This window comes from Homo sapiens, chromosome 14, assembly GCF_000001405.40.
Source record: "Homo sapiens chromosome 14, GRCh38.p14 Primary Assembly".
Lineage (NCBI taxonomy): Eukaryota > Metazoa > Chordata > Mammalia > Primates > Hominidae > Homo > Homo sapiens.
This window is the reverse complement of record NC_000014.9, coordinates 56,919,006-56,931,520: the sequence shown is the minus strand read 5'-3', so window position 1 is coordinate 56,931,520 and position 12,515 is coordinate 56,919,006. Positions and strand designations below refer to the sequence as shown.

General features: G+C 37.6%; 1 long non-coding RNA gene across 2 annotated transcripts in view; it reads right to left on the bottom strand.

The window, feature by feature from the left end:
* Window positions 1-212: 212 nt before the first annotated feature.
* The window catches only part of OTX2-AS1 (OTX2 antisense RNA 1), a 119,303-nt gene continuing 107,000 nt past the window's right edge, over window positions 213-12,515 (bottom strand). The window contains exon 4 of one of the 2 annotated variants that reach the window (NR_029385.2): window positions 213-2,641. This is a non-coding gene — a long non-coding RNA (OTX2 antisense RNA 1). Of the gene's footprint in view, window positions 2,642-10,903; window positions 11,881-12,515 lie in introns of those variants that run through there. The other variant, NR_146411.1, reaches the window with a different exon arrangement.

The window sequence follows — 12,515 nt, the reverse complement described above, 5'->3', positions numbered from 1 at the left end:
CAACTGCAAACTGGCTCCCTGAAAACTTTGTATGACTGGGTACTCCTTGAAACATCTTCCATACCTCTGAGGGTTACATGTGTGGCAGACTGAAGACCACCAGCTAAAGTACAGAACATCCACTTAAGATGATCTTCTGAAATTTACTTCTTAAAAAAAATTAAATACTTTTTATTATGAAGTGAAAAGAAATTGTAAATATAAATTGTTATAATTTTTCCATATACATGTGCCATTTATTACGTTCTAGGTGCTATGGACATAAGAAGTTGAGTAAGACACAAACTATGCCCTTGAAGATCTTAAAATTTATTTATAAAGATATATAGTTAAGTAGTTATAGAACAAAATGGTTTGCAATTAGTTACATAAAAGCAACATTATAGTAGTCAAATTTTGTTTAAATAATTTTATGATCAAAGTGATAGTTTTCTCAGATACACATATGTATTTATACATTAATTATCTTTATAAGGGGAGGTTGGCTAATATCACTTAAAAGTCAAAGGTTAGTTCTTTCAAGCATCAGGCATGAAGATCCTAAGGCCATAGATTATCATCTTGAAAAGTTAAAACACTGATAGAAAGAATAAAACTATTGTTTCAGGGTATAGAACACTCAAAGGGAAAAAAATATGGAGAGAAATTCTTGAACATGTTTTAAAACCAGAAAACTTTGAAAAGCAATTTGGCTAAATCTAGTTTAAAGTTTATTTGTGACAAGCAGCAATTCCAACTCTGATACAACTCAAACATAGGCACAGGAGACTTGTACAAGGCTGTTCCACAACAATATTTGTAATAAGAAGCATGGAAATTAGGAAAGCACACATTGTCTACTGGTGGGAGAATGAATAAATAAAATGTGATATGTGGAATATTCATACAGTTGATTACTACACAGCAGTTAAAAATGAATGATATTAACTCACTTAAGAAATATATACATATATTGGCTGGCATAGTGGCTCACATCTATAGTCCCAGCACTTTGGGAGGCCAAGGCAGGAGGAACACTTGAGCAAAGGAGTTTGAGACCAGTCTGGGCAACATGCTGAAACCCTGTCTCTCCAAAAAAAAAATACAAAAAATTATCCAGGCAAGGTGGTGCACTCCTGTAGTCCCAGCCACTTGGGAGGCTGAAATGGGAGGATTGCTTGAGCCTGGAAGGAGGAGGTTGCAGTGAGCAGTGATGGTGCCAATGCACTCCAGCCTGGGAGACAGAGTGAGATCCTGTCAACAAAAAAAAAGGAAGAATAAAGAAAGAAAGAAAGAGAAAGGAAAGGAGAGAGGGAGAGAGGGAGAGAGAAAGAGAGAGAAAGAAAGAAAAGAAAGAAAGAAAGAAAGAAAAAGAGAGAGAGAAAGAAAGGAAGGAAGGAAAGAAGGAAGGAAGGAAGGAAGGAAGGAAGGAAGGAAGAAAGATTGAATGTTTGCTATATGCCAAATGCTATTCTAGGTGCTGGAGATTCAGCAATGAGCAAGACAAAGTCCCTGCCCTCAGGGAACTTACAAATAGCTCTACATATACTAGCATGGATAGAAGACAGAAACATCACAAAATAGACTGTGAATATTAAATATGTAAATTCTTAAATTACCCACTAAACAATCACACACATTATTATGTATATGGGCACATAAATGTATTCTTTAATGACCTCAAAGAATACATGCCGATATTATATAGGGTTGCTTTGAGGGAGGGAATGCAGGCAACAGGACTGAAAAGGTAGGTCAAGGGGAACTTCAACTTTATCTGAAACTTTTTTATTAGAAAAAGGATAAGCCAGTGTATGATAATATTAACAGTCAATTCTGGGTTTTGCAAACAAGCATATTTGTCTTATTAATCTCTGTGCTTTATTTATTACTTTCTCAAAATTAAAGAACCTACAACAAGGGATTTTAGGATTTTTAAGGAACAGAAGGTACAATTTAGCTGGGCACGGTGGCTCACATCTGTAATGCCAGCACTTTGGGAGGCCGAGGCGGGCGGAGGTGGGTGCATCACCTGAAGTCAGGAATTTGAGACCAGCCTGGCCAACATAGCCAAACCCCGTCTCTACTAAAAATACAAAAATTTAGCCGGGAGTGGCGCCTGTAATCCCAGCTACTCAGGAAGCTGAGGCAGGAGAATTGCTTTAACCTGGGAGGTAGAGGTTGCAGTGACCTGAGATCATGCCACTGCACTCCAGCCTGGGTGACAGAGCGAGACTCTGTCTCAAAAAAAAAGAAGTACAATTTACAGACAAAAGTCCTGCAGAAGTTGAGTTCAACCTAGAAATAAAGGGACTGTTTCTTTCCCTAAAACAAAAGAGCAGAGGAAGCAAGAGATGAAGGAAAATAGAAAATAGGATAGGAGTGAAAAGTTGAAGGAGATTGCAGATAACCTTGAACTTCTCAGTAAAGCAGAAAGCAAGATCATCTTCCGAGTACAAGGGGAAGGGGAGATCAAACAGTGAGTTTCAAAAATATGAAAAAAGCTTTTAGATGATCAATGGAGGAAACTAATCAGTGAGTCTCCAAGAGATTAATAAAAGGACTACCAAGCAGCAACAAGAGCCAGGTAAGGTTTGGTAGAATGAATTTGCAATGAACTGAATCAGTGGTTTCACGTTTTTCTCCATCATGACTTGGTAGCCTAGAAAAAAAAGAGAGAGAAAAATTAATTGGTAATGGTGAACATGATTTAGGGATTGATTGGGTAGGCACTTGGTGGAAATATAAGGTGAAGTGTTCTAGAGTGATAGTTAAAGCATCCTTTAAAGTTCTCAACTTTAGAGACCGGATAGAAAAAAAAATGGAGTTGGAAAAAGCTGTGGCTGTCTTGGACTAAGGGTTGGCAAAGACACGACACGTGTGTCAACTATTCTGTCTACAGGCCAGGCCGTAGGTAGAAATCACTAATAGATCTTGGTACCCTTTCTTACCAACTCAGTACTCCATGAACTTAGTTGCAGTAGATTAGAGAGGACACACAATTAAAAACCTACCAGACACACCTGTACCTACAGGGGGCTCCTCCAAGGCAGTAAACATGTCATATTAATCTCTGAATCTCCAAATGTCCCACCTGCCACATACTAAGCTCTCATTTAATAAATGATTGTGGAAAGCAAGAAGGAAATTGTGGGGAGGAAGCGGGGAAGAGAATACAGTCTGTGACGAAAAAGAAAGACTAGGGTCAGAAAGGGTAGGAGCACAAAGCTGATTTTTTTTTTTTTTTTTGAGACGGAGTCTCGCTCTGTCGCCCACTCTGGAGTGCAGTGGCGCGATCTCAGCTCACTGCAAACTCCGCCTCCCGGGTTCACGCCATTCTCCTGCCTCAGCCTCGCGAGTAGCTGGGACTACAGGCGCCCACCACCACGCCCAGCTAATTTTTTTGTATTTTTAGTACAGACGGGGTTTCACCATGTTAGCCAGGATGGTCTCGATCTCCTGACTTCGTGATCCGCCCGCCTCAGCCTCCCAAAGTGCTGGGATTACAGGCGTGAGCCACCGCGCCCGGCTTGATATCTTTGAGATAGAACTATTTTTAAAAGAAGAGTTACAGGTTTGCCCCTTCTAATGAATAAAAAAAAATATTAAACAGATTGTTAAACCATAATTCTAAATTTTCTTCTATAAAATTTTCTCATTCCTTTCTTGGAAAGAGTTTTTTTTAGTAACTTAGCCTATGAAAGGCTAACTTTAACTTCAGGCAGAGTAGTCTAATATAAAAGTTTTAGCATCTAAACATTTAAAAACCAAGCGTTCACTAATGTTTTGTTTACATAATATGGATGTTCTGAGGAATAAATACCTTGTCACACTGTTATGGAACCGTAATATCTTCAATTGACAAAAGTGCGGGATTTTTGTGTTGATGATTTTTCCATTAGAAGCACGAAAAATTTTGGCTAAAGTCTGATATAATATAGAATGCAGGGAAAATATTTCTGGTTTTCTGATCCTTAAAGAGAAAATTTAAGATGCTTAGTTGTTTGAATTTTTCAACCATTGATAACTGTAATGAATTATGAATGCAAATGTTTTTAGTAATGTTGTCTTAACATTTACCTGAAAATACAATTAACTACTTTTCTCTGCATGTCATGACTCAAAAATTAGTTTTACATGGTTGCTCTCTAACTGGTATTTTTAATGGAAATATTGGATATTTTCCTTTGTTCATTGTCTGAACTGCCTCTGACAAACTCGTCATGGGGCAAAACATGCCAAGTCTTCTTATTAGCAACATCAACCGTGGTGAGGCCAGCGAGGCTTTGTTAAACAGATAATAGCTACAGATAGCAGAGTACAAACAAGACTTGAGTATGGAGCTACAGCCTTAGGAAATATGTGTAAAGTACTTAAAATAAAGGTACCTTTCAGCCAGGCACAGTGGCTCATGCCTGTAATCCCAGCACTTTGGGAGGCAGAGGCAGGTGGATCACCTGAGGTCAGGAGTTCGAGACCAGCCTGGCCAACATTGTGAAAGCCCCATCTCTACTAAAAATACAAAATGAGCCAGGCATAGTGGCGTATGCTTGTAATCCCAGCTACTCCGGAGGCTGAGACAAGAGAATCGCTTGAACCCAGGAGGCAGAGGTTGTAGTGAGCCGAGATTGCGCCATTGCACTCCAGCCTGGACAACAAGAGCGAAACTGTGTCTCAAAAATAAATAAATAAATAAAGGTACTTTCCCTTTATGATACATATATAAAGGAATATTATTCAGCCTTAAAAGGGAAGGCAATACTGAAAACATAGATAAACCCTGATGACACTATGCAAGTGAAATAAACCAGGCACAAAAGGCCACATATTGTATGAGTCCTGTTTTACCTGGTACTTCCCTAAGGAGACGGGGAGAATGGGGAGTTATTGTTTAATGGATACAACATTTCAGTTGGGGAAGATGAAAAAGTTCTGAAGATGGATGGTGATGCTGTTTGCACAGCAATGTGACTGTACTAACACCACTGAATTGTATACCTAAAAACAGTTAAAATGGTAAATTTTACGTTCTCTGTATTTTATCTCAATAAAAAAATAAAATATAATAAAGGAACTTCCAACTATATTTTCATAATCAAAGGAAACTGTGACTGATTCTGACTCATGATAATATAAAGTAAGTAGATTTATTTCCCCCATGAAAATGTTGCAACCCTGAAGTAAATACACTTACATTACAATGTTGGCACCAAATTCATTTTATTAAAAAAAAAATTGGATAGGACATGTAACAAAGAAATGGCATTTGATTGTGAGATAAAAAGAAAAAATTATAAAGTGTATCCCGCATCGTCAAAAATATATCACCTCGTGGCCTTCAAAGCTTTACTGGAATTAGATTAGAATTAGATTACAGCTATATTACTTTGGTGTGAGACGCTGTGTGTAGTTTCTTTTCTTAACAGCAACTTAAAATGCTCATTTTGGTTACTAGGAAAAACCAAAATTAGAAACACTGAAGAGGGGAGCTTTAAAATGTGAAGATTGCTAAAATATGCTAGTATAACCAACACATGTAGGGCAAGGTAGAAAAGTAAATTATATTGATGTACTTGTGTTACCAAACTGCTTTCTTGGCCTAAAATTATTCAGCATGTAAAAAGATTCCCAGTAATGTCAGTGACTATGTAGGAAATTGATAACTACTCAACCTCCTACCCCACTCTCCACCTCCACAAAAAATAAAATAAAATCTGAGCCACTGGGCTGCACAGCACTGTCAGCTGCTTTGTTACCCTGAGAAGTGCAGAGGGTCGGTGGAAATTACCCTGTAATGAGCAATCCATCTGGCTGCACCTAAAAATGGAATAGAAATGCCACCCTTGACTTTTCCGTGGTAGTAAATTAAAGCCTAACGTATAGTTCTAATTGCTAACATTTTCTCTCTAATTATGGTTCAGTTTGGCTAGGATTTCCGACAATCCCCTTGTTCCCCTAAAGCAAACACCAGAGAATGTTCTAACCCCACTGGTGGCATTTATTAATAACCCCCTTGACAGATGAAAAAAAAATTATTCTATATAAGACAGGAAAAGATTTTCCAAGTAAAAGCTAATTGATTTTTTTAAAAACCTATTCAGACGCTATACAGGAATTAATTTTATAGAGAGGAAAAGAATACAATAGTGTCAAATCAAAACAGACTCATGCATAGTATCATGCTGCCTGGGCACTGTTTGGGGTGCCAGCTAGAAAAAAACCTGATAAATGTATAAAAAAAAATCTATGCATACTTATTTACTGGGATGAAGAAACAAGAAAAAGAGAGCTCTCTTGTGAAGGATTCTTACTTTGTGCCTCCATGAGAGAGATAGGATATGATAAGTTAGTTTCCATGATTGGCAAATGCAAACACATATGAAAAAAAATTGTTGGGAATGCTTCCACAGTCTTCTGTTTAATCTCTTTCATTCTTACTTTTTAAAAGGCATTATTCTTTTAAACAAATGTACAAATACATGCTAAATACAAATCAGTATTTATCTATAGGTCTAGTTCTCATCAAACAGTATACAGCTTCCTGAATGACAATTAATAAGTTGGAAATACTAAACAAAAGATTTCTGATATACTAAGAAGAGGCGTGAGAGAAAAAAAAATACACTGTAAAAAAAAAGGTTTTGGAAAACTACACTCCAAAATACCTAGTATAATATTGAAATACAACTTTATAAAGCAAAGCAGTGGTGGACTCAAGGTGGAGGGAGCGGACACACTGGGTGACAGTCAGAACCTTCCATACAAGTAATGAGGCACTGTCTTCAGAGAGTGGAAAATCAATATTACAACAACTTTAAAAACAATCTGCTTTTGCCAAGTATGGTGGCTCACACCTGTAATCCCAGCACTTTGGGAGGCCGAGGCTGGCGGATCACATGAGGCCAGGAGTTCAAGGGCAGCCTGGCCAACATGGCGAAACCCCATCTCTACTAAAAATACAAAAATTAGTTGGGTGTGGTGGCTCATGCTTGTAGTCCCAGCTACTTGGGGTGCTGAGGCACGAGAATCACTTAACCCAGGAGGCAGAGGTTGGAGTGAGCCCAGATTGCACCACTGCACTCCAGCCTGGGCAACACAGTGAGACTCTGTCTCAAAAAAAAAAAAAAAAAAAAGGATCTGCTTTTTTGTATCATCCCCAGGTGCTCATCATTCTAAACAATGTAAGGAATAAAATAATACTCTCCACAAAAATAGTTTGTCTAAGTTCTAAACAATATTTGTGGTTACTGTTAAGTTTTAGTAATATAGTTGTACACTTCAATTACATTATTAAGTTTTAATAATGTAGTTGGCAAATTCCCCCCAGGTGTGAGCCTGTGAAATCAAAAGTTTGCACATTTTTATTTCTTAGGCTTTCTAAACGCTGCATTCTACATGAAAGTTCAGAAAACTGTCAGGCACATTGTCCCCAATAAATATGGACTCAGCTACACATGTTCATTTTGAGAGTCAGTTTATAAGAATTGAGAGCCATTGAGTTTGCTTTGGGAACAGTTTGTCTTTCATCTCAGTAATACTATATATTCTTGCATATAAACAATAGATTTTAAATGAACAGTAGGAGCGCAATGATTGTGGTATTTGTCCGTTTTTTGTTAGCTATAACAATACTATAGACTGGGTAATTTATAAAGAAAAGGAATTTATTTATTACAGTTTTATAGGCTGGGAAGTCCAATAACGAAGTGCTGGCATCTGGTGAGGGCCCTTTTTGCTGTATCATAATATAGCGGAAGGCATCACATGGCAAGAGGTAAGAGCTTGCCAGCTCAGCTCTCTCTTTCTCTTCTTATAAAGCCGCCAGTCCCATCATGGGGGCCCTACGCTGACGATCTTATCTGACCCTAATTACCTTCCAAAGGCCCTACCTCCAAATACCACCAACATGTGAATTTGAGGATTAAGTTTCCAACACATGAATTTTGAGAAACACATTCAAACCACAGCATTCAGCCCTTGGCCCCTGAAATTTATGCCTTTCTTGCATGCAGAATACATTTATTCCATTCCAATATCCCCAAAATCTTTAATCATTCCAGCACCACTTCAAAAGTCCAAAGTCCAGAGTCTGATTTTAATCAGATCTGGGTGAGACTCAAGGCACAATTTATCCCATGCAAATTTCCTCCAGCTATAAGCCTGTGGAATCAAAACAAGTTATCTACTTCCAAAATATAATGGTGGGACAGGCATAGGATAGACATTCCCATTCCAAAAGAGAGAAAGAGGAAAGAAAATAAGCAGTAACTGGTCTCAAGTAATTCTGAAACTCAAAAGGGAAAACAACTTTAAACCTTAAAGCTTTGACTCCATATGCCACCTCCTAGAAACACTGCAGGTTTAGACTTTCAAATCTTCGGCAGCACCATCCCTATGGCTTTGCTGGACTCCGCTCAAGCAGCTCTTTTCACATGTTGAAGTCTCATGGAATCCTCCCAGCCTGGCATTGCACACTGGTAGTTGTAGTCTGGGGTTTTAGGGGTGATCCTGCCCCAGCAGCTCCACTAGGCATTGCTGTAGTGGGGGCATTCTGTGGTGTCTCCGCTCCTGTGGCAAGTCTCTGCCTGTTTCCCCAGGCTATTTATGACATCCTTTAAAATCCAAGTGGAGGAAGCCATGCCTCCACAGCTCTTGCATTCTGTGCACCTACAGAATTAGCACCAGGTGGATACCATCAAGATTTACGACTATACCTTCAGGAGTGGCTGGTGCAGTCACACTTGGAACCATTTGAGCCACAGCTGAGGTGGCTGAGAAACACTGCATGGGAATGCAGGTAGCAGAGACTGGAGGTGACGCTGGGCAATGACTTGTCCCCTGAAACCATTTTGTCCTCCCACAGCTCTAGGACTGTGATGGGAGGGGCAGCCTGAAAGATCTCTGAGATACTTTCAGGTTCTTCTCCCATTATCCTAATGAATAGCCTCTGGTTCCATTCTACCCATACTCATCTTCTCAAGCAGTCACTTGGTCACTCTGTAGTATTTCTCTGCTGAAAATACTCTCATTCTCTACTACTTGGCTAGGCTGCAGATTTTCCAAATCTTTCCACTCTGCTTTCCTTTTAATTGTAAGTTCTGTCTTTAAATAATCTCTTTTCTCAGTGGGGCATGGTGGCTCACTCCTGTAATCTCAGCACTTTGGGAGGCCAAGGCAGGTAGATTACTTGAGGTCAGGAGTTTGAGACCAGGCTGATCAACATGGCAAAACCCCGTCTCTACTAAAAATACAAATATTAGCCAGACGTGGTGGTGCACGCCTGTAATCCCAGCTACTCAGGAGGCTGACAGAATTGCTTGAACCCGGGAGGCAGAGGTTGCAGTGAGCCAAGATAGCACCACTGCACTCCAGCCTGGGCAACAGAGCGAGACTCCATCTCAAAAAAAAAAAAAATATATATATATATATATATATGTGTGTGTGTGTGTGTGTGTGTGTGTGTGTGTATGTGTGTATATATATATGTGTGTGTATATATATGTATATATATGTGTGTATATATATGTGTATATATATATGTGTGTATATATATATGTATGTATTCTCTCCTATTTTACTATAAGCAGTTAAAAGTAGCTATGCAGCAACTGGAATGCTTTGCTGTTTAGATAGTTTTTCTGCTAAATATTCTAATTTGTCACTCTTAAATTCTGCCTTCCATAAAGCATAGACATACTTCAGCCAAGTTCTTTGCTACTTTATAATAGTCTTTGCTTCAGTTTCCAATACCTTGTTCTTTAGTTCCATCTGAGACCTTTACTATCTATCAACATTCTGGCCATGACCACTCAAGTAATCTCTAAGAAGTGCCAGACTTTCCCTAGTCTTCTATTCTTCCAAGCCATCAGCAGAATCACCCTTAATGCTCCGTTCATGGCAATACAGGCTTATTTTTAGGCTGCTCCTCCAGATTCTTCCAGCCTCTGGTCATTACCCAATTCCAAAGCTGCTTCCACAATTCAGATATTTGTTATAGTAACAACCCCACTTCTGGTACCAATATTCTGTCTTAGTTCATTTTCTGTTGCTATAACAGCATACCACAGACTGGGTGACTTATAAAAATAAATAAATTTATTTCTTAGAGTTCTGGAGACTGGGAAGTCCAAAGTCAAGTTGCTGGCATCTGTGAGGTCCTGTTTGCTGCATGTACAGAGGATATCATATGTCAAGAGGGCAACAGCAGGCCAGCTCAGCTCTCTTTCTCTTCTTATAAAGTCACCGTACTATCAGGGGGTCCCAACCTCCATAACTTTATCTAACCCTAACTAACTCTCAAAGATCCCACCTTCAAATACCATCAACATGTTACTTTGGGGATTAATTTCTCAACACATGAAATTTGGGGAAAACATTCAAACCATAACAATTATAAAGACAAAGAAATAGAGTTCAAGGTACTTCAGTCCTGTCATCCTGAGTGTTGGAATTTTTATTTATAGTTAATTTTTTTCTACTGCAGAAATATTTAAGAGCCATTAGAATTGATTCTGAAGGAACAAAGACATGGGATTTATTGTAAAATGGGATTTTTATGAATTTCTGCCAAAATTGTTTAAAACTTTTCCTATGGTTATATTTTGCTTCATATAAAAGAAACATTTCAAAACTAAAGTTAATTAAAAATATTCTTAAGATTTTAATTTTTTTTTTAATTTTTTTGAGACAGGGACTTTCTGTGTTGCCCAGGCTGGTCTTAAACTTCTAGGCTCAAGTGATCCTCCTGACTCAGCCTCCCAAAGTGCTAGGATTACAGGCGTGAGCCACTGTACCCGGCCAAAAGTGTTCTTTAATCAACAAAGGGAAAGGATAAGTCTGACTATATTATCTATTGAATATAAATGTGTAAAGATCAATTTTGACAAAGTCACTGACAAATTTGCAGAAATTATAGCTCAAGGTGAAAAGCAGAAATTATAATATTATTTATTACTGCAACAGACTGATATGTAGACACAATATTTTTCCCTTTTCTCAAAAAAATGCATTAATATACTCAGACTATTAATTCATTATTTCCATTTTTTGTACTATAATCTCTATTTATTTAGAATTCTTTATTTTTCCTTTACCTGAACAATTATAAATTTAAACTTCAGTAAAATAAAATTTTCATAGTTTACATTTCTTTTTTAGACATTATTATTATTGGTTTCATTTTATAAATTTTACAGAAGATAATTTTGTTGTATAAGACGAGGGAAGTGTGAAAAAATGATCTGCTCAAGGTTTCAAATACCCCAGGTGTCTACTGGAGCAAAGAAAATAAATTATATTATCTTACATGATTGGAGGATATGGATATTATTCAAATAATCTAGCTAATGGTTTTCTAATAGATTGCCAATTCTTATAAAATAATAATTAAAAACAAATATCAAGTAAAACTAGGTTTGTGTACAACTAAATCTTTGATAATTAAAAAGGTCACTCAATAACTCAAAATCATTGTGACTGATCAATTATAACATCAATTATCATTGTAGTATACATATGTAGAAACACTAATTAGTGAAATCCCAGATAACAAAATGTTACGTAACAGAACATTAAGAAGTTAAAACAAGTGCTTATGGTGAATACTATTTAATTCACACTTCTATTTCTTAAATAATATAAAAGTCATCTGAAGTTTACTGTGTTCAATCTCAAGTAAAATTTTCATAGCCCTAAAATATAATTTCAAGCAGTACTTTTCTGGTAAAAAAAAGAATTATCACATATTTCATTGTTCTCATTGAGATTTATTTGTTTTGATGAACTAAATAATAGTTGTAAGACTTAGTTTCTCCAAATTAGCTGATTAAATTAGTTCTTCGTTACTCAACTCTTTGTTGATTCCTGGCACCGGGAAGACTTCTAATATACGCACAGGTAAGCCTATGAGGAAAAATAATTGCAACATGAAATTACAGGCTGTATGATGAAAAGAAACCAGTGCTCCATCATTCAGATCTCTTTGAATTTACTTTTCAGTTGTTGCTGAAAACCAATTGCTGCTGGTCAAGGCTGGGTTGTGGACCTTGGTTAGGTTTTCACAAGAAGGGCTTCTATTTTCCACCCCAATAGCCTCAGGCACAAATAGGCACCTACAGGTTCATTTGGGCATCAATGGAGTGGCATACAGCTCAATATTCATGCTGAAGCTCCCTTAGCTACACAAATCTGACATCCTGTCAACACATTGACCCAAATTTGTATATGCAAAGGTTTGCCTTAGCAACCTTGGCAGCTAGGAGATCTCAGAAAGGAAGCCTACCCTTTGGGGGAGGTGATGCTTCCTTAAAAATCCAGTTTTTGTCAAATTTCTCACTTAAAGGGATACTCATTGCCTTTCATCTAGAAGTAAAATTGTGAATGAATTACAACTCATGAATTCCCATAAATTGTACCATGTGGTTTTCACTGCAACTTTTGCTGGCTGTGAAGAAGAAAACAGCCCAAATAAAGCCTAAATAATCACTCAGCAATTAGTAGCTGAGTAAGCAAATATGTCAGCCCCAAACTAGGCATTG